This window comes from Homo sapiens, chromosome 2 (assembly GCF_000001405.40).
Source record: "Homo sapiens chromosome 2, GRCh38.p14 Primary Assembly".
Lineage (NCBI taxonomy): Eukaryota > Metazoa > Chordata > Mammalia > Primates > Hominidae > Homo > Homo sapiens.
This window is the reverse complement of record NC_000002.12, coordinates 54,922,874-54,945,716: the sequence shown is the minus strand read 5'-3', so window position 1 is coordinate 54,945,716 and position 22,843 is coordinate 54,922,874. Positions and strand designations below refer to the sequence as shown.

Genomic DNA, 22,843 nt, shown 5'->3' with positions numbered 1-22,843 from the left:
CTGGGCTGACAGAGCAAGAGGTGGAGCAGAGCACACAATGACCTGAAATGTGTAAGAGCATTCAGGGCCAAAGTGCTCAGGGAAGCTTCTGAAACCACTGAGGTCACGAGTCAGTTGCAACCCAAGATGAGTACAACATGAGAGCCAACTGGGGAGTGAGGCTTGGACAGCCTGTGAGAAACCAAGTCGTTCCAACCAGTTTCTATAAAGAGGGGTGTGGGTGTGGGTGTGAGTGTGGGGAAACTCAGTTCCAACTAGCCAAGAAATTCAAGTTTGAAGTTGTTTTGAGTCGTGTTCATCAGACAATGTTCAAAGTGTCCTTGGAGGAAACAGCTTTCTTCAGCTTCCAAAATGTGGCATAAAATGCTCCAATGGTTTTAGAATGTCTTGGGAAATCCAAAGGGGAGGGGGAGGGGAGAGAGAAGGGGGAGGCAGAGAGAGAGGGGAGAGAGAAGGGGGAGGGAGAGAGAGAGGGGAGAGAGAAGGGGGAGGGAGAGAGAGAAGGGAGAGAGAAGGGGGAGGGGAGAGAGGGGAGGGGGAAAGAGGGGAGGGGGAGGAGGGGTAGGGAGGGATGAGGGAGGGAGGAATGGGATGGGAGGAGAGAGGGAGGAGTGGGAGAGGAGGGAGAGAGGGAGGAATGGGAGAAGGGGGAGGCAGAGAGGGAGGAGGGAAGGAGTGAAGGAGGAGGGAAGGAGGGGGGTAGGGAGGAATGGATGGGGGAGGGGAGGGAGAAAGGGAGGGGCGAGAAACACAGAGAAATTAGCAACCACTGCTCTAGGATAAATCCAGGGTTAGGAAAAATCTCCAAAGCCAGGGGGCCTCTCTGTTATCAAGACCAAACTGGACTGTGTCAAGTGCATTCTTCAGAACTGGACTCTGTTAACAGTATTCCTAAGAACTGGACTCTGTTGAGTGTATTCCTATGTCTTCCAGAATCATGTACAGAGATACTTAGTGATGGGGTGATGGAAAGGATTCAGGCAGAAGAACTGCAGGATGTCCTGAAAGAAGCCTACCCTCTTGAAAATGCTCTTGACTGAAGCCTATCACACAGCTTTGTGTCTTTTTGTTGTTGTTTTAAAAAATGGGGATATCGTCTTAGACTTGGCTATTTTAGGTGAATACAAAGTTATTTGGGTGAAAAAATGAGAGTACAAAGGGTGGCGTAAAGGGAACTAAGTAAAGATGGGCAGAATACTGAAGAGGCCACTGTGATGATCCAAGAGAGGAATGATGAAGCACTTGACTGGAGCAGTGGTTATGGAGAAGAAAACAGGTGAATATTTAAAGAAAGGTTGGCGAAATAGACTTCACAGCACTTTGTCATGGAGAGTCTTTAGGGGATGAAGTAGGAAAAGCAACTCAAGGGCAATACCAGTTTTCCAGCTTGCATATCTGGACAGATGGTTGTATCATGGAATGAGACAGAGAGAAAATATCAATGAGGGAAGATGATGAGTTCAATTTTGGCACGTTGAGCTTTGAACACCCGTGAGATAGCTTTGTTAGTTGGAAGTTCCACTGAGAGATGGGAGTCAGTGACATGACCCTGGGAATCACTAGCCAATGGGTGGGATATAAAAGATTAATTAAGAGAGAGGGTAGATGGTAGAGGGTGAAAAGATGCCAGCCAAAGGTAAAATCCTGAGGACCAACAGCATGTAAGGGGCTGGAAGAGGAAGCAGAGGTGAGACACTGAGAAGAGAGAGGGAGGCACCAGAAGGGCCAAGAGAGATTCTTTCAAAAAGGCGAGAGAAGAACGTTTATATTCTTCTCTAACACGCACTGTCCAATTCAGTAGCCAATGCCACATGTGGCTTTCAAAAGTTTGAATTGTGCTATAACTATAAAATACACACTGGAATTTGAAGTCCTACTGAAAAGTTTTTAACAGAATGTAAAATATAATTTTATATTACATGTTGAAATATTTTTTAATATATCGAGTTAAAATATATTGTTAAAATCAATGTCACCATCTCAACTTTTTTAATGTGCCTGCTAGAAAATTTATACACGTGGCTCACATATTTCTACTGGACAATGCTACTCTAGAAGAAACAAGTTCTCTTAGTAAGACAGAGAGAGGAGAGTCACTGGACTCAGGGGTTAAAGAGCCCCCATGTCAGCAGAATGGCAGGGACAGAGGACAGATGAGATAGGATAGAGAATGAAGAAAAGACTACAAGGCCTGAATGAGAAAGGAAAAAGGTTGGAAGGAAGGTGACGGCAGAAATGTGTAAGTTTATAAGATTAATCAAAGGACCTGTTTTTTTTCCTGAGGAGAGCTGGGTGGAGGTGGGAAACTGGGATGTATTTTTTGGTTGAGGACATGGATCTGGCTGTGGGAGAGTGACACAGGAGACACAGATGAGGGAGCATGGATGGACAGGAGGCCGGGGCCAAGCACCAGGTGAGGGAACTGTCTTGAATAGGAGAAGGGACTTACTTCCTCTGAGAAGAGAGGGAAGAAGGTGAATGGCTTACGTGAGTGAAGGATGGGAAGCAAAATGGAGGAGAGAGAAAGAAGCACCAAGATGGAATGCGTGCCAGTGGCTTCTGTTTTCTCAGTGAAGGAGGGGCAGGAGGTTGAGTTGAAACCTGGATGACTGCTGAGAAGCAGCAGAGAAAACCAACCAAAGGAAAGGATGGAGGAGCTTGGAGGGCCATGTGCAGCAGCCAGGCAGCCTCTCTGGTGGTGGCCATCTGTGCCAACGTGGGACTTCCTATAAGAAGAGTGGAGAGGCAGGTGGTAGGAGGAATGTAGGGGAGAAGGGCCAACAGGACTGGGAAATGGCATTTGGGTAGGCACAAAAAGTGAGGCCAGGAAGGGCTGATGAACTTGGGGAAAAATGAAGGTGTCTAGGCACTTATTTGTCTTGATGAAGATCAGGTGTACCCGGGAATGAGAAATCCAGAGGACAGCTGGTTAAGACACTGAGGGACAAAGGAGTTCCTGGTGATGATGTAACCCAGGGCATGGCAGGAGCTGGCTGGGGTTGGCCAGTTGACCATGAGCTGAATTGCTCAGAGACAGGAAGTTGACAGATGACAAGAACAGGAAGGGGCAGAAGATGGCAGAGCATGACACGAACTTCAAATGAGCGAGAGGGAGTCGGGTAAAGAGCACGCCAACATAGTTTAAACACACCCACAAGAGCACCCTGATCCTTCACACCTTCCACTCCTGCAAATGCCTCCTCGGTTACCACATCCTGACCACACACTAATTGACAGGAGGCAGATCAACACCCCTGGTAGTGCCCATTCCCCCCAGATGGAGAATCTGTGAGATGTTCAGACACTTGCCTAAAAGAATCAGACCCAACTCTGCCACAGTCTTCGGAGAGTCACTCCCTTTTGACAGAAAAGTGCTTACATATTTTTGAAGTGTTCTTTTATCTCCATAAGTGAGTAGGTTTGATTTGATGATTACACTGTGGGAGTGTGATTTCCTAGGCACATTAAGCTTCTAAAAATCATTTTCCAACACTTTACTTCTGGATTTTTATACACTGGCCACTCTTTGTCATCAAAAGTGAAGAAACTATTCTATAATGAACAGCAGGTTTAATGCCTAAAATTATCAGACAGAAGTCATTGCTTTGCTTCAAACCAATACAGAAAATCAAGGGGTTTGAATAAAGAAAATCATTTATGAAAATAGCATCATATTCACTTAGAAAAAAATCAACGAATGATTCAGCTTTTAGTGGAGTTACCTAACTAAGCAATAGGCCTTGGAGATGATTAATTTCAGCATTTCTGGGTTTAATAGATATTATAATTTCAGTCCCTTCCAACTTCATAAAGAACAGGAGTCTTGCATTTCTACCTGCTCGCTGCAGCTATGCGGGCAGAACTCTTGCAGAACGAAGGGGTGGGATGAAGAAGAACGCAGCTTCGAGAGAAGGGCTCTGGAGCAGGAGTGCTCCTCGCCCTGCGTGCACTACGCGTGTGCCATCACTCTCCCATGGGGAGAGCTGGGCTCAGCTTAAACAACACACATGCAACTGCAGATCTCTGTACCAACTCTCAGGCTCTGTAAGCTCACTCCAGCCTTGGAAACGGGATGGAAATGTAGAACTAGAAGTTCCTCCCCATTTATTGGGCCAAGCTTCAAGATAGGATTGAGCAGTTTTCATCAATCTCTATATGGTAAATCCAGCAGCATTAGCTTAGCAGGATGGTCAGTTCTTAGCAACTCTAACAATACAGGCCCACAAAACAGCTATTGATCAATGACAACAAAGGGCCTCTGTCCGGCTACGCTGAGGAAGGAGCTGGGAGCACAGGTTGCTCATTTGCCGTTGACACTGTGCCACTTCACCATGCTCATCATGCCTCAGGCGAGCTTGAAATTCCCACAGATCTCCTGATTAAATAAGGCGTTTAAAAAAAACTGGGGGCAGCTTCCACATATGAGTGAACAGCAGAAGAGAGGATTTTGAATGGTCCCAACAGAAATAAATGACAAATGTTCGAGGTGAAAGATATGCTAATGATACCAATTTGACCACTATACATTGAAAATATTGAAACTATGTACCTTATAAACATATAAAATTATTGCATGTCAATTAAAAAATTAGAAACTAAATACAAACTGGGGGCAACTTCTCCCAGATTTCTGTTTCCAAGCACAGCATAAAAGGTTAGAAGGAAAACTGGGATTACTTATATACGGTGATTTGGTGACTGAAGGAAACCTGTCTACATCCTTCCCGTTTTCTCGTAGTCACTTATGAGCATGTTCTTTGTTTCATTGTAAACCTGCTGACAAAGCACCTTGGTGTGTACAATAGGCATGATAGCCACAGTGACACAGAATCTTCTTGATTCCTTTTGCCTGGGGTTAAACAGATTTAAACCAAACAAACATTGTAATTCCTGAAGGACAGATACTACAAAGATCAAAAAGTCATTTTGCCAAGTGCAGTCCCAGGGCCAACTGGGGCACCCTGGATTCTACATCAGTCACATCATTTCCCACAAAGACCATCCATAGTTGCTAATGAAGTGAAGGTAAAAGTGGTCGCTGACCAAGAATGGACTTGCACAGCATCTTGAAGACAGATTAAATATTAAGAGAATCAGGCTAAGTAAATTGGTCCATTCATCTATTCATTTGAAAAGTATTTGTTTGCTGTGTATTAAGTGTAAGGTACCACGTTAGACACACAGTGGTCCCATGATAGGTACAGTACCAGCCACTGGGGAACTGATAATCCTACACAGTTTATAATCCAGTGAAATTTTATATTGACGCCACAGACTAATAAATTAAGGAATCAAGGATTAAAGAAGGCTATTAATTTAGAGTTGAAACCAAAACATGACCAAAACAAACAAAAAAAATCTCTGAAACCCCATAAAATTTTTTTAAGCCCACAGTATATAGTTTTCTTTATAGAACTTTCTTTTTGTTTCAGTTCATAAACCCATTCAAATCAACTCAGAAAGAATGAGGTGGAAGATAGGTTTTAATGCCTTATCCATTCAACTGTAAGCACAGTCTAATAAAAATTCTGGAAAATGCTAATACTACAGTGGAATTTTGAGGTCATTTGGTGCTAGCGCCTGTCAGTTCACAGGTAAGGGCACCACCATTTATAAAAGGCTTAGAAACTACTTCTAATTTTGGTTTGGTAAAAGTTCCTTGGTTTCCTAAGGAACATATGCCATAGATTGACAGTGAATATATTCCACAAGGACTAAAATATTAATGCAGAATATTCACAGATTCCTCCTTTATAATCTGCTGCTAAGAATAATTCTGGCACCGCCTCCTCGTGTTTGCTTGTGCCGGGCCGCTGAGATGGCTGGAGAGTTAAGTTGCCTCTATAGTGGAAGGCAGTTTGTGAAGTGAAATGGTTCCTTTCCCCTCTCTTCACAGAGAATTGGGAGAGGAATTCCACTTGGGACACACCCCTAGACTTGTATGGGATGCCCAAATCTCATTAAACCAGGACAACCATCTCTTGTATGAAAGTTGTTAGCCTCTGCTGTTGCCTGGAGGGAGGGTCAAGAGAGACAGAGCAGAACCCAGGCAGGGGCACTGCAGGGAGCGGGGAGGATAAGGATCACCCTTCAGGATTATGACATGCCTGCTGGTCCACAAGTGGGGGCTATTGAAAATGATGGAATGCTGACAGCTGCGATCAGCCAAATATGGGTGCATATCACAAGGGGCTACTGGTACTTGGAAATGAGTCCTCGTCCATGGGGACTGTTGGAAGCAGTACTCATCCATCCACATGGAAGTAAACTTACAGCAAGTATGACAGAGAAAGGAGAGTTGCCTGATCCTCTAGACCCCTCCTAAACATCCACTATCACACATTCCCTGCCAGACAAAGCAGACAACTACCCTCAACACCACTGAGATGCAGTCTGGGGCAAGGGCTTCTCCACTTCAGACCACTACTTGGAATTGCCTAAAGGCAGAAGCCAGATGGAGAATGCTGCAGCCTGAGCGCTGGAAGGATGACCAGGGAGGCCAACTGCTTAGAAGCAGAGATTTCCTAGCTGGATTATGGATTTTAATGACAAAGTGTCAACAAGATCTCAGAATTTGATATCTAATCCATGGGCTAGAATGAAAATGAATCTAAATCTTGTTGTTAAGGAATCCATTTATTCATTCAACACACATTTACTAAGTGCCAGCATGTTCTAGATTATAGAGATAAAGCAGTGTATAAAACAGAAATTTTGCTTTCACAGAGTTGACAACCTACTTGGGAGAGGAGAGCTTTACGTGTAACCCTGATCAGGTCAACAGCAAGGGCCTGTGATTGTTCAGTTCTTAAGGCAACTCCCAGGTCTCCCACCAACAGAAATGAGATAATACGGAAACCAAAAATAAAGCCCTCAGAAAGGCAATTTTCCCCAGTGCCAATCTCAGACTTGGCAAAACAGAACAAAGACAAACAAAATCTTCTCAGAGATCCGAACAGGTGCAGCCAGAAGATGTCCAAGGAACCCATCACATTGTGCTGAAGAGAACCTCAGACAGCGTGAAGCCTGGGCCTGAGGCAGGGTTCTGTTGAAGCCAAAGTCAGTTAGTTCCCATAGTGGACGTGTCAAAGTATGTTAGAACTGTTTTGTAGTAGTTACTTATACTGTGGGAGCTGGTAGGCATGTACTCAGATTCTGCTAAACATTTGGGTATGTGTTTCAGGAGGAGATGGTAGAAAAGTATAAAATACATCTCAGAGAAATAAAGGAAGCCTCTTGTGCTTGGAAAAATGCCAATAAGCATGGCTGTATGTCTCACTGAGGCATGAGAGGGACTTGGGAAGCCCTAACAGTGCCGCCTAAAAATTGCTATTAGCTCCTGCCTTATGTAACTGTATCTATAGCTTTCTGCATACCCTAAAATTACAGAAACTTCATCTAACTTTTTTTTGAGATGGAGTTTTGCTCTTGTTGCCCAGGCTGGAGTGATTCAAGTAATTCTCCTCCCTCAGCCTCCCGAGTAGCTGTGATTACAGGTGCCCGCCACCATGCCTAGCTAATTTTTGTATTTTTAGTAGAGACAAAGTTTTGCCATGTTGGCCAGGCTGGTCTCGAACTCCTGACCTCAGGTGATCTGCCCGCCTCGGCCTCCCAATGTGCTAGGATTACAGGCGTGAGCCACAGCACCTGGCCCCACCTAACTTTTATACAATCACTTTTCCATCATTCACATCACTAACATCACTGTCCTGTGAGGACGAAGCAGATTGGTGTCAGAAGTGGGATTAAAGCAAACCTCTTTACGTATAAAGAGGTTTTATACGTAAGAGGAAATCCAAGGGGAGCCAAGTTTTGCTTTGATTCTCATTGACCCAACTCTTGTAGAAGTCAGAGATTCCATAATGATTTAAATACAAACAGTATTTAATTAATGCACAAAGTTTGATTGATAGAGTATATAAAAACACTGTTGCTTGAAACTTTTTTTAGAAGATGGCTGTGTACATGTCATCTACCCAGGTAAAACAGCTGAATAACTGGATAAAATCTAACAAATCAGTGACTAAAACTATAAATATCACAGTATCTACAGTTATCCATAATTTATAAAGTAAACTACACTAAGTTGGAGCTAAGGCAATATAATTTAAGCATTAAAAACTAACTTTTCTACTTTTTTTTTTTTTTTTTTTTTTTTTTTTTAAAGACAGAGTCTTGCTCTATGGCCCAGGCTGGAGTACAGTGGCATGATCATGGCTCACTGCAGCCTTGACCTCCCAGGCTCAAGTGATCCTTTTATCTCAGCCTCCCAAGCAACTAAACCACCACATCAGGCTTTTAAATTTTTGGTAGAGACAAGGTCTCCCTATATTGTCCAGGCTGCTCTCAAGCCATCCTCCTGCCTCGGCTTCCCAAAGTGCTGGGATAACCGGCTTGCCCCACCATGCTTAGCCTAAGACTTCTTCTTTTTTTTTTTTGAGACAGAGTTTCGCTCTTGTTGCCCAGGCTGGAGTGCAATGGCTTGATCTCGGCTCACCACAACCTCCACCTCCCGGGTTTAAGCAATTCTCCTGCCTCAGCCTCTCAAGTAGCTGGGATTACAGGCATGTGCACCACAGCCAGCTAATTTTATATGTTTAGTAGAGATGGGGTTTTTCCACGTTGGTCAGGCACGTCTCGAACTCCTGACCTCTGGTGATCCACCCTCCTCCGCCTCCCACAGTGCTGGGATTACAGGCGTGAGCCACTGTGCCCGGCCCAGACTTTAAAAAAAAAAAAAAAAAAAAAGAGAGACATGACCGTTTTAGCCTGAGCTAAGCAGGAGAGACTGGCAACAAGCCCAAAGTCTACTGCGGAAGGAAAAAAATATGCTTTAGGTGAGTTTGGAATTTTGACTTTTGGCCATAAGTTATGCAGCTTCTCAGGTAAGAAAAGAAGGAGCAGTTAAACCTCTTTTCAGTGACAGGTGAAAAATGCTATAAGTAAAATAATGTTATAAAAATAATGTAGAAACAGGAAGTGGTAAGTCTAACATTCATTTATTCATCCCTGGATAGACAGTCAAAAGCTGTATGCCTCAGCAGTTGTTAATAAAGGACCTTGAAAAAAATACAGATGGCTGACTCAGGTGCATTGAGAAAACAATCCTTGAGCTAATTATTGTATCCTCTTCAAAACATAAAGGTTAAGTGAGTACTTATATGCCAATTTCTGTAATAGTTTAATTCTCCATTTATTCTGTATCTTATTATAAAGTTGGGTTTCTGTAGAATGCAGGTTCCAACTGTATATAGCAAATAAAAATATCCATTATGACCAACCCCTATGTGGCCGGTTAAGTGAGGAAGAAATGAGGACATCCACCTATGTCAAACAGGAGGCATTTAAAAATAAATTACTAACCATGGCTCCACCAGATGTAACTAGGAAGACTAATACCTGGTCAGCTCATATGAATTTCAGTAAAAGATCATAACCCACACTTAGAGATATTATTAGATGCTACATATCAATTATCAAAAAGAATGTTCCTTTGTGATCGTGTAGTTACCACAGTATACAAAACTGAAGCCACATGATAATTTGATAAGAACAAAAAATGTAGACATTGGCACTAAATATTTCCGTAGTTATAAGTTTCTAATTTCTGGCTTTCTCTTAATGTGATAATGAAAACCTCTGGAGATGAGCCCAAGATGTTTAAACACACATTGATTCATTCATTCACGGACAGGGTCTCGCTCTGTTGGCCAGGCTGGAGTGCACTGGTGTGATCACAGCTCACTGCAGCCTTGAACTCCTGGCCTCAAGGGATCCTCTCACCCCAGCCTCCTGAGTAGCTGGGATTATAAGAGTGTGTTTTCATTCCCAGCTAATTTTTTAAATTTTGTTTGTAGAGATAGGGCCTCCTTATGTTGCCCAGGCTCATCTAAACTCCTGCCAGCCTCAACCTCCTGGATTCAAGTTATCCTCCCACCTCAGCCTTCCAAAGTGCTGAGATTACAGGTGTGAGCTACTACGCCTGGCCTTAAACATTATTTTTAAAGATATATGCGAATAACAAAACATAATGTGAATATAAGACTACAATTTTTAAAAGTAACAAACCTCAGCATGAATGTATTTTAAAAGTTGATTGTTGTGGCACGCTCAGATGGTGGTATAAAAACTGTGACTCATCAAAATTGTTTCACTTTAATTGGGTAAAGTTTTAAATGTCTCTAATAATTCTTGACATTGATTTGGTTGAATTTTTGCTGGCCATCTCTGATTTTTAAAAAGTTATGCAGATATAATACTAGGTAATAAAAACATACGCAAAAGTAGTTACAAATGATAGTAATTACTGTTCAACAGTAAAATACCCTAAGGTTCTTTTCTGTGATAATCACCACTTTCCATTAGAAAGAACAATTAAAGGAGAATGAACTAGATTTTGTGTGTTCTCCAAATCTCCAGCTTATGTGTACTCATAGAGCCCAGACGCCATTCACAGGACAGGAACACCAAAGATAAGCATGGGACTCCTTAGCAAAAAACAGACACTTTCAAAGGTACATGGTGGTACTACAAAAACGACACGTACACCCAACCAAAGGAGTGTCTGCTAAAGACCAAACGTGACAACCTAAACACGAAGCAATGCCAATACCAAACCATTAATGAAAATTTGTTGAGCCTACAAAAGGTTATAATATTCCTTCCAGAGACAAATAATATAAACTATACTTTAAAAAAGGAATATCTACCAATAATAAATTAACTCATACTCAGTTTATCACCAAAAATGAGGGCAGAGTGACAAGTGATTTGACTTAAGAAATAAAATAGTAATTTGTTTAATTGATATATCTTTCCCTTGAGAATTCAAGTATCAGTTTGAGATGTAAAAAAATATATTTTTTGAGCTGGGCATGGTGGCTCACACCTGGAATCCTAGCACTTGGGAGGCCAAGGTGTAAGACCGCTTGAGCCAAAGAGTTTGAGAACACCCTGGGAAACACAGTAAGACCACCCCATCTCTAAAATAAAGATAAGCTGGGTATGGTGGTGCACACCTGTAGTCCTAGTCCCAGGTACTTGGGGGACTGAAGTGGGAGAATTGCTTGAGCCCAGGAGGCTGAGGCTGCAGTGAGCCAGGATCATGCCACCATACTACACTCTGGGCAACAGAGCCAGACCCAGTCTCAAATATAAATATAAATATATATATATGTATATATGTTCTAAGTTGATACTATATAACTCCAAATCTTAGGCCAGAGGACTAAATGACAAAAACGGAATTTAGATTGACCTGAAATGTGGGTCTCCTGGCAGATGTCTAAAAATTGACCTTCCCTCAAGCAAAGTGACAGCTTATGCGTGCCTGTGGAGCAGCCAAGCCCTGAGCCAGTCTCTCGTCAAGGGAGGAGCTCATGGGAGGGCGGGAGGATACAAATTTTCCCATGAGAATGACAAAATACAGGGGCATCACTGACATCCCAGTAGGAACCTGGGACACTTGGAGAGCTGTACTTTTAAGAGAGTATTATGTTACTTCCTACTTTTATTTTTCACTTCCATATGTGTATGTTTTGAAAGAACAAACAAAACCTTTATATCCTGACTGCTGGTATTTTCCAACATTCACATTACCATCCAGTCATATAATACTCGCACACGGCTAGGGCAGGAATCGTTGATTGTTCAGTCCAGCAGAAGACAATACGCTATGGACCAGTGATCACTGCGTGTTGTCTCATTCTCCCTCCTTCAAAGTGGTGATTCAAAAAAATTATCTTCATTCTGTCCTCTCTTTACCACTATTTGGCAAGTTAGGGTGGTTAATATTATCATTAGCCACAGGACCATGAGGGGCTTTATCTGGACCTGGATGAGAAAATTTCATAGTACTCTCAGATCCTGGATGTGGCAACTGGCTGAGACTTTGAGCCGCCTCTTTTTGGGAAGGTGGCATAACTGCATTTCAAATTACATATAGGATAGTGGGGGTTTTTAGTGGGTTTTTTTTTCTTTCTTTTTGAGGCAGAGTCTCACTCTGTCACCCAGGCTGGAGTGCAGCAGTGCCATCTTGGCTTGCTGCAACCTCTGCCTCCTGGGTTCAAGCGATTGGTGCCTCAGCCTCCCGAGTAGCTGAGATTACAGGCGTGTGCCACCATACCAGGCTAATTTTTGTATTTTTAGGAGAGACAGGGTTTCACCATGTTTCCTAGGCTGGTCTTGAATTCCTGGCCTCATGTAATCTGCCCACCTTGGCTTCCCAAATTCTGGGATTACAGGCATAAGCCACCGTGCCTGGCCTATATATAGAATAGTTTTAAATGGGGCCATTTTAAGAGAATATATATGACAAGAAAAGGGTGAACTGTAATAGACATTTTCTATTTTGGGTCTGTCCAAATCACCTCTGGGGGAAGTGATTACAGAGAGGTGAAGTGATTACATTGCTAGTCTATGGTGGCAGGTGACTATTTCCAAGGTAAGAGTCAAAGACTTTTTCTTCCTAGCCCATAGTGATTGGTTCAAGGGTAGTCCTGGGGCCCACCAGAGCCAATAGCACCTCAAAAGACATTTGTAGGGGGAACTTGTGAATCAGAGGCAGTTCTTTCCTACTGATTTTGAACCACAGAGACTATAAGTTCTGCAGCCATTTTTCTACCTGAAGAACTGTAATAACCCAGAGGAAGAAGAACTGAGATATGAAGGAAAAAACCAGAATCCTGGCAGCAAGATTTGAGTTCTCTTAACAAGTGCCACCTGAAGTTGCCCCACTCCTGCATACTTAGGTGTGTAAACCAGTAAGTTCCCCTTTGCTTAGGCCAGTTTGGGTTGGGTGACCCCCTTGAAAGCCCCTATGTTATAAATCAAAAAACAGTATGTAAGCTAGGTGTGACTTTGGTAACGTGAAAAGAAAATTCTTAATTTAACAGGCAACTCTAGTAATTTGGTACCAAGCAAACCTTAGGGATTTCATCACTTGACGAATTGGGGAAAACTGTTTTTACCGAAGTCTGAATACAGGATTTGGGCACCATACCTCATGTTGAGATGATATAAGCATTTTGTATCTTAAATTGCTCTGAAAAACTATGCTTTCCTCCTTCATTTTTTCTCCCAAAAGGAACTTTTCTGATATTTAAAGTATCAATTAAATATCTTAAGTTTGTAGATGGACAAAAGAGTACATTATAAGAAAACACGGCAAAGGAGATAAGGTCAAAAGTTGAGAGTAAGAGGTGTGTCAGGTTGGGGCGTGGCACTTGAGAGGTGGGAAGGTTTGGAAGGGTTCCTCTAGACCAGAATTAGCGTCAAGTCGGCTGGGGATGAAGGAGGGCAGCGTGGGGTAGCCCTGAGTGCCCAGATAAGGAGTGAAAGCATGGATTCCCAAAAGTAAAAAAGACTTCATGACTTTCCTCAGCCACACACCACACGTGGCAGCTGAGCAGCAAGATCACCCAAGGTTGGGGACCAGCCAGATGAGTCTGGGTCATGGAGGCAGGGTATCCCAGTGTGTTAGAGGAAAGCTGGAGTAACTGGGCTACCCGCTGAACACCTCATGGACATTACATATCTGGTAGGTGTAGCCCAGGATTCTTTTGAGACCAACTGTAAATTTCTTCTCAGCTTCCTCATTTTCTGAAAGATTAGAACTGAAGATCATATGGCTTCTGAAGAATAAGAACTCACAATGTAATTAGCAATTGTGCAAAGAAGCAGGATCTGAAATCTCACAGCTATTTTAAAGTCAAATAACTGAGTCTAATTAGAAACAATCCACAAATATCTTAAAATTTAGGAATTAGGAATTCAGTTGCTTCAAAAGTAATTGATGCATAAAGCACAGCTACCTTCAAGGCATTTTTCTCAGTACGACAGGTGCTACAGTCATCTCAAGGTTTCTAATTGCTTTTAGGTGACAGGGGATTTACCAGAGGTAGAGCTGCCTGAAACATTGCTAAGTGACAAAACAGTGCTAAGGACCCTGCGTGGAGTGGTTGTCCCAAGCTCACATCTCTTTCAGTCCTCAAGTACTCGTCTCCCATTAGTCTCATTGGTGCATGTCTTGAACCAAGTGTTTAGAAAAAGCACCCAGGTATACAGAATTATCTGCAGGTATATACGGAAGGCACGATGACGGGAACACCAAGGAAAACCCCTGCCTCTCAAATCTTCAAGCAGGGCTTGAAGTTGCCAAAGAAAACAGTATCAGGAGCTGCTGGGCAACGGCCCTGATTATTCCCAGGGAGAAGCTGGCCACTGCTGCCTGGCTTCATGTGGTCCTGATGTCACCATTTTTCCTTCTCTGTCCCTCTGTCATTCCAGGATGCTAGAGTCCATGGGTCCTGTTTTATACCCTAGATGAGGACTAAGATATGCTGTTTAACATCTTGTGCCACCCTCCCAATTCCATCACTCATCCTGCTTTCTCTCAAATTCCCCAAATGCCCTGCCTTGCCTGGCAATGTTCTATTTTGTGGTCCAGAAGATGCCTACGGTCGCCGGGCGCGGTGGCTCACGCCTGTAATCCCAGCACTTTGGGAGGCCGAGGCGGGCGGATCACGAGGTCAGGAGATCGAGACCATCCTGGCTAACACGGTGAAACCCCGTCTCTACTAAAAATACAAAAAATTAGCCGGGCATGGTGGCGGGCGCCTGTAGTCCCAGCTACTTGGGAGGCTGAGGCAGGAGAATGGCGTGAACCCGGGAGGCGGAGCTTGCAGTGAGCCGAGATCGCGCCACTGCACTCCAGCCTGGGCGACAGAGCGAGACTCCGTCTCAAAAAAAAAAAAAAAAAAAAAAGATGCCTACGGTCTGATCTCTGAGGTTCAGTCTCCCCTAAAATTACTGACCAGGACTGGTGGAGTCTGCTTGTTCTTGGCTCTGATTGTGATTTGCCCCCATGGAGACTGCTAAGTTGGCCATCATTTATTGCTCTTTACTAGCTGACCCTACCTGGCAGGGCCCCACTCTGCTCCCGGCATGCTGTGCAGCTGGCAGTGTGTGCTCTAGTTCCAGCTCCTTCTGGGAATTGAGGCTGTCAAGGCTTTTAAAGTTACCTAGGAAGCTGCTCTCTACAGAAAAGGTTTGATTACTCCTCCAGACCCTATACTTATCTTAAAATTGTTTTCTTCACTAAATCCTGGTGTGAATTTTTTTAAATGCCAGTAAACTACTGAACTGCCTACCCCTATTTCATAATATTATAAGGCTTTTTCCTTTTGATAAAAAAAAAAAGAGTCATTCCAGTGTATGCGACTATACAGTTTCCTATCTGATGGGGTATAGCTTGATAATAAAATGGGGTAGCATGAAAATTCTGAATTTTAAAATGAAAAATTCTTAGGGTCCTCTCTATCATCAGTCCTCCTACCTTTCATTAAGTTTGGCAGTACGAAATGTTGACAGATTTGCCCAAAGAGGCAATGAGACAAGAAGAGGATTAGGTGAGCCTTGGTTAGGGTTTGAAATCAGCTGTAGTGTTTGGAATTTGGAGCTTGGGTTAAATGATTATATTTTGGTGGCTAGCATGAATCTCAGCATGATGTACGAATGAGTTACAGAAATCAGCCAGAAACACCCTTGGGATAATGGCCATGTCAACTCATTTCATAATGGTATGTGAAACTAGAAATGAAACTAGAAAGGCTGGGTAATTTTTTTTTTTCCAAAGGAATGAATACTTCAGGTGAAACATTTTTTTAGATTGGATTATTTAAGTGGGAGGCCTATTCATGCACTTCTGTGCATATGGTTCTTTTTTCCCCTTAATTCTTAGAATTAGGACTTTTAAAAATTATTTTCTGTTTGTGGCCACTTTAAAACCATGTTGCAAGCAAAATGAACTCTGAAGACCACTGCAGAAAAATCTCTAATTTTTTCTTAAAAGAAAGCTCTGGATCTTTGTAATATCTAACAAAGATGCTAGGGAAAAATTAGGGCTTTTTTGCATTAGATTCAATCTTCTTGCCAGTAGCACACCCACCATTTACCAAGTTTATTTTAACATCTGGCACTGAATTTAAGCAGGAGGAGGAGGAGGAGGAGGAGGAGGAGGAGGAGGTTACATTTCTTTGCATCTAAAACCCCACATAATAGTAAGAAGTGATAGGTCAGACTTATTGTTGTTAGGCAGAAAGCCATACTAAATGCAAACTACTTGAATCTCATAAATTACATATTGTGGGACCAGCGTATTGTCAACATCGAGCCTACCTCAATGTGAACAGCCAACAGAATTATTAAAACATCTTTGAGATCCACGAAATTCTCTTTAGTTATTAAGAGTTTTTATTCAATATCCACTCTTAGCATGAATATGATAAATTAAGTAATATAGTAATTCTGAGCTTTTCTTTTTAGAAATGCTAAAGTGTTTGACAATTCTTGTCAATACTTATAACAGCACATTGAAAAGCCCCAAAATAATACTAGAAAACACTCATTCTATATAGAGGATCCAAGGCAATAAAACCAAATGGGATAGGCTGGAAATGCCAAACCCACCTGGACAAATCTGGGCAAATGAAGACACAGTAAGAGAAGATACACCAAGTGAATGGAGTATAAGGCACAGATTCTGGTTAGAATGGAAGATGGTTTTTCACAACTCTGCAGCCATTCCTCCATGACCTCAGAATCCTGTCCTCCCTCCTACCTTGCTGGTCAGCAGGCTTTCCTGTCAGCTGCCACAGTCAGGACTGCTTTGGGGCTACCCTAGCATTTTTTTCTGGGCATGGAGAAGTGTAGTCCAACTAAATTTCATGTCTATTCAAGTCACATTCCATAACCAACTTCCACAAAGTATAAACCGCCCTTTGCCACGTACTGGGATGTTGTGCAATTTTTTCTCAGCTTAAGCCTGTGTACAGGTGAAGACTCTGTGAAGATTTATAAAAGACTGACTTAAACAGCAACTTTGAGGGCAAAGAAAACGCACTCTGGCTTAAACAAGTTTCTTGTCATCAGGTATAATAAAAGCAAGCAAACCTGGCAACACCATACCTTTCTTCCACGGAAACTTCCTTCAGCTGCTGGTGTGGCTTGGTGCCTTCCATTTCCCTGATGCTCACAGCATAAATCTTGGTGGTGTAGTCAATGGCCTTTTCTCTAGCAACATCGCTGTCATAGCCTCAAACAACAGAAAGAGATTGGGGAGCCAGTTGGTTTGCAGTGGCCCAGGAAGGGAGGTGTTGGGAGGTGCATTCGGCGCAGGAGGCATGTGGCAGGTGGGGGGCTCACCTCCATCCTCTTCCACGTCGGTGTCTGACTCCTCGCTGTCCACCAGCTTGCTCTCCTGGGTCCCCACAAACTCCCTGGTCCAGATCATCAGGGCTGTGTCGGCGCCGCCCACCGTGAGCAGCACAGAGTCATTGTGCAGCCACCTCACGTTAGTGACATGTGCACTGTGCCCCACATACTTCTTGAATCTTGCGTGCTGTCCCTGTAAAGCCCGAAATTGGTTATTACCCCAGCCACTGTTATTCCTTTCTCTGGGCTCGTTTATCCATGTTAGTTTCTACTGGATACAAAGGAAACAGTTCAACAGCAATTTCCTACATTTCAACTAGAATGTAAGCTCCATGTGGGCAGGCACTAGGTCTCTTTTTTCTTCAAACAGTACCCAGCTCACAATAGGTCCTCAATATATTTTTGAGGGAATGAATGAAATGTTAGACTACAGAACCTATTTTCTGGGAATCTATAGACATATAAAAAGCTTGTTCTGGTTCTCTCAAATGTCAAATGTGCTGCCTCCACAGGTCTCTAGTGTAAACTCCTGACTGTGAGTCTGGCTGACATCTGAGATCAAAAGTGTCTTCACAGCCATCTCCTACAGTGACTTTTGTACTACAGTCCAGGCAGTGGCAGAAGAGCAAAGGATATCTTATAAACCTGGGACCTCAAGTAAGATGTAAAATGAACACAACGGTTTCTGCCACAGACGCTAGAAAGAATTTTTAATACAAACACGCAAACATTGATTTAAAGCAAAGCTCCTTTTCAACAAACATAGCCAAATACATACAACCCAATTTATCAGTAACGACTAAAAGCTTTTTGGAGTGGTGTGCCCAGGCCACCCCACCTTTATCCCCGGGTGGAGGGTGGAATGTGAGTCAGCTGCTCATGCCAGGGCAGTCCTGACAAGTGGTGCAAAATCAAAGCTGGCACCAGAAAAAGCTTCCATATTCAGCTCATGAGCCACAGCCTGGCAAAAACAGCTGCAGCGGGAGCCATTTAAAGACATGGAGTTTTTCCATCCTCTCAGCGACTCCGAGGGAATACCTTACAGAATATGGAAGGCCACATGCACTCTCTGAGGTTGTGACAGAGTCACCAGTATCCCAGATGAAAATTTTATTAAGTAATTTACAAGTGGCTCCCAGAGGGTTTTGGACTGGCATGCTAGAGAATCTGAAAACAGCACAGACATACAGCAGGAAACAGGTGCAGGAGGGTTCGTGACTTTGTAATACTCCTAGTCAAGATCGCCCTGTATTTGGCCAACTACTAGCTGATGGCAGAGCGGAACTGCCCACTCCTCAGCAGAGTACTGAGCCTAGAAAGATTCCTGAAGCAAACAGGCAGGTAGGATTTCCAGGAGGCCCTCCAGAGTCATTAGTTTGCTAGCAAATAGGCAGAACAAAAGAATTTCCAAGAAAAACCCATTTGAACATGTGAGTTCCAGAAAGCATGGAAACAGAGGACAGTCACAGCAGCTGCAGCCATGTGTCCTGCTGGTCTTCTAGCTGGAAGCAGGAGCACATCCAGTTTATACACTACAAATGCAAGCTGTTTCTTTACAGAAGTAAAAGAGCATGAGAAATGCCTCTCTACACCCTCAACTTATAAGAGGGACACAGGGTTTCTAGATGGCAAGAAAAAATGCAAAAAGAAAGGTTCAAGGAAACAGACTCTAAGGGATGAGATTCAGGTTGCAGAGGGGAAAAAAGGGACATAGAGGAAGAAAGAGAGAGGAAAAAATTCAGGGCCACTGAAGAGATATAACAAGGCAGAGATTCCTGCAGCAGTGGGTGATTCAAGATTCTCAGAATAGGAAAGAAAATCACTGCTCCATGCAACAATAAAGGGAATTGACAGTTGCTAGAAGGTTCTGCGAAACCAGCTGCTGTCTCAAGAGAAAGACACTGGCAGGGATGTATAGTGGTTCCCGGCAGGGCCTACGGAGGAAACGTCCTCAAGACCTGGCACAGCCATTGGGATGAATGACCTTTCTGGGTCTTCAAGCCAAACTGCACTTGTTACACCCATCAGAACTTGCTGCTTCACCACAACTCTATCCATCAAGTGATGAAATAATGGATGATAGCACCAGAAAAACCTGGAATATGGCCAGGTGCACTGGTTCATGCCTGTAATCCCAGCACTTTGGGAGGCCAAGGCGGGCAGATCACTTGAGGTCAGGAGTTCAAGACCAGCCTGGCCAACATGGTGAAACCCTGACTCTACTAAAAATACAAAAATTAGCTGGGCATGGTGGTGGATGCCTGTAATCCAAGCTACTTGGGAGGCTGAGGCAGGAGAATTGCTTGAACCTGGGAGGCAGAGGTTGCTGTCAGCCAAGATCACACCACTGCACTACAGCCTTGGCAACAGTGAGACTCCATCTTAAAACAAAAAAAATCTGGAATATGTCTCCAGAGTAGTGGTTGTCAATCCCTTGTAGGGAAGAAATTCCTGAGAATCTCGTGAAAGCTGTGCACTCTCCCCTACATTCACATTTCAGTTTCCCTGTCTATAAAATTTTCCATGCAAAGTTTCTCTCTGAAGAATCATCCTCCAGAGCTTTTCACATTCTGAGGAGGAAACTTAAGGACTTGAGGGCATGGAGGGTTTTAAAAATGCAAATGACACAGTGGTATTTTAGCCTCTCCATTTAGCAAAAGGGTCTAGGTTCGGAAGGGAAGGGAGGCTATGGGAAGCAATCTGCAGGCCATACAGATGGTGTCAAAAAACAGAATTTGGTTTTCTGGTCCATGGTTTAAGGTACTACAAAAATGGGTCGTGCTCCTGTTAAGTCTCTGATAAAGGATAGGGTATGTCTCATGGAGGTTGGGACAAGGTGGCTGTCAGGGCACTAATGATCTAATTGGGAAGGCTTTAACCTATAAAACTGAATATTAATAAAGATACTTGTCTGGCATGGAAAGAAAAATGCCCGGAAGAGATGCCCACTCATAGGAAAGTAGAATGAGAAAAAGAGCCAAGATAGTGACGTGATTTTAGCAGCCAACAAACGGAACTTGAATTTTGGACACAGAGCTCTGTGGTGGTAATAAGATCTCACAGGTATCACCAAGACTGATGACATAGAACTCAATGCGAGAATATAGCAATGGCATGGGACATTAGTCTGCTTGGGTTGCCATAACAAAATGCCCTAGGCTGGGTAGCTAAACAGCAGAAATTTATTTCTCACAGTTTTAGAGGCTGGGCAAGATGAAGGTGCTGGCCAATTTGGTTCCTGGTGCGGGCTCTCTTCCTGGCTTGTAGATAGCTGCCTTCTCACTGTGTGCTCACAGGAAGAGCGGGCGGTGTGTGTGTGGAGAGTGAAAGCTAGCTCTCTGGCATCTCTTCTATAAGGACACTGATTCTATCAGATTAGGGCCCCTCCCTTATAAACTCATTTAATCTTAGTTACTTCCCTAAATGACCTATCTCCAAATACAGTCCCATTGGGAGTTAGGGCTTTAACACAGATTTGGGAAGACACAACCATTCAAGTTCATAACAGATAATGAACTTTGTTCAACAGAGTGATAGCAGTTAGACAAGTGTGACTATACAGCTGGAAATATTCATTGGCAAGAGATTCATGTATTTGGGAAGGAAAGTGTGCCAGAAAAATCAGGTTGAAAAAAAAAGAAGAGGCTGGGTGCAGTGGCTCACGCCTGTAATCCCAGCACTTTGGGAGGCCAAGGCAGGTGGATCACCTGAGGTCAGGAGTTCGAGACCAGTCTGGCCAACACGGCGAAACCCCATCTCTACTAAAAATACAAAAAATTAGCCAGGTATGGCAGCAGGCACCTGTGATCCCAGCTATTCAGGAGGCTGAAGCAGGAGAATCACTTGAACCCAGGAGACAGAGGTTGCAGTGAGCCGAGATCACGCCATTGCACTGCAGCCTGGGCAACAAGAGCAAAAACTCCATCTTGAAAAATAATAAATAATTTTTTTAAAAAAAAATAAGTGATTTTATCAAAATAATTCATATTTGGCTAGTAGTTTAAGCCATGAACCTATTTCTTCAATCTGATTGAAGAAATAGAGAACTCAAGAAATACACAGAACTCAAGAATGAAAAGATAATTTAAAACAATGGACAGAAGATTTGTACAGATACTTCCCCAAATAGTAAATAGATGACAAAGTGCTCAGCATCCTTAGTCATCAGAGAAATGTAAACTGAAAACACAACTGGATGGCACCATCTACTCCCCTGGACAGCTGAATTTTATGCATCTGACAAGATCGAATATCAGCAACTGGAACTCTTACATTTTTGGTGGGAATATAAAATGATACAACTTTGGAAAAAGGTCTGGCAGTTTCTTAAAATGTTATATATATTTTTCCCCATGACTCAGAAATTCCACTCCTATATATTTACCTAAGAGAAAGAAAGCATATGTCTACAAAGACTTGTCTAAAAATGTTCATAGCAGCTTTACTATAACCAAAAACTGGAAAAGTATGTTCATCATAGGAATATGGATGAACAACCTGTTATATCCACACAATGGAATTCTACTCAGCTATGAAAATGAATGAACTATTATTATGCAACAACATGGATAAATCTCAGAAACATCTCTGAGTGAAAGAAGCTGGATAAAAAGCAGTACCTATTTCATTTATATGAAATTCTTAAACAGGTAAAATTTATGGTGAAAAACATTGGAACAGTTGTTTCAGCTGAGGGAGGGAGGGGGCATGGGGACTGGCCCAGAAGGAGTATGAGGAAGCAGCCTGGGGTGGCAATGGCGTATGTATCTTCATAAGAGATGTTTATATAGGTACATGAGCTTTTTGTCAAAGCTTATCAAATGGAACACTGAACATTTATGTATTTCAACTGAATATAAATTTTACTTAAAAAATACCATAAGCAAATCTTGAACTCTAGATAGTAATATGCATGATGAAACATTTAGGGGTAAGTATCTTGATGTCTAAAATTTACTTTTTCCTCCCAGCTTTACTGAGGTATAATTAACAAAAATTTTATATATTCAAGGTGTACAACAGAATCTGATATATGCATACATTGTGAAATAATTACTACAATCAAGGTAATTAATGCATTAATCATGACATAGTTACCATTGTGTGTGTGTGTGTGTGTGTGTGTGTGTGTGTGTGTGCGTTTGGTGAGGACACTTAGGATCTACTCTGTTAGCAAATTTAAAGTAATACAGTATAATTAAATACAGTCACCATGCTCTACATCAGATCCCCAGAACTTATTTATCTTAAAAGTTTATACTCTTTGGCCAGGCGTGGTGGCTCACACCTGTAATCCCAGCACTTTGGGAGGCTGAGGTGGATGGATCAGCTGAGGTTGGGAGTTCGAGACCAGCCTGATCAACATGGAGAAACCCCATCTCTACCAAAATTACAAAATTAGCCAGGCATAGTGCCACATGCCTGTAATCTCAGCTACTCAGGGGGCTGAGGCAGGAGAATCGGTTGAACCCGGGAGGCAGAGGTTGCGGTGAGCCCAGATTGTGCCATTGCACTCCAGCCTGGGCAACAAGAACAAAACTCCCTCTCAAAAAAAAAAAAAAAAAAAAAAAAAGTTTATACCCTTTGACCAACATCTCCCCATTTCCACCCACTCTCCAGTCCTTGGCCACCA

At 42.9% G+C, this 22,843-nt stretch overlaps 1 protein-coding gene across 8 annotated transcripts in view; it reads right to left on the bottom strand.

The window, feature by feature from the left end:
* The window catches only part of EML6 (EMAP like 6), a 248,474-nt gene that overhangs the window by 26,309 nt on the left and 199,322 nt on the right, over window positions 1-22,843 (bottom strand). For all 8 annotated transcript variants that reach the window (XM_017004098.3, XM_047444299.1, NM_001039753.4 and 5 more), the window contains 2 exons: window positions 17,203-17,404; window positions 16,966-17,092 (listed from right to left, as the gene is read on the bottom strand). In XM_017004098.3, coding sequence (XP_016859587.1) covers window positions 16,966-17,092; window positions 17,203-17,404 — 329 coding nt within the window. The remainder of the gene's footprint in view (window positions 1-16,965; window positions 17,093-17,202; window positions 17,405-22,843) is intronic.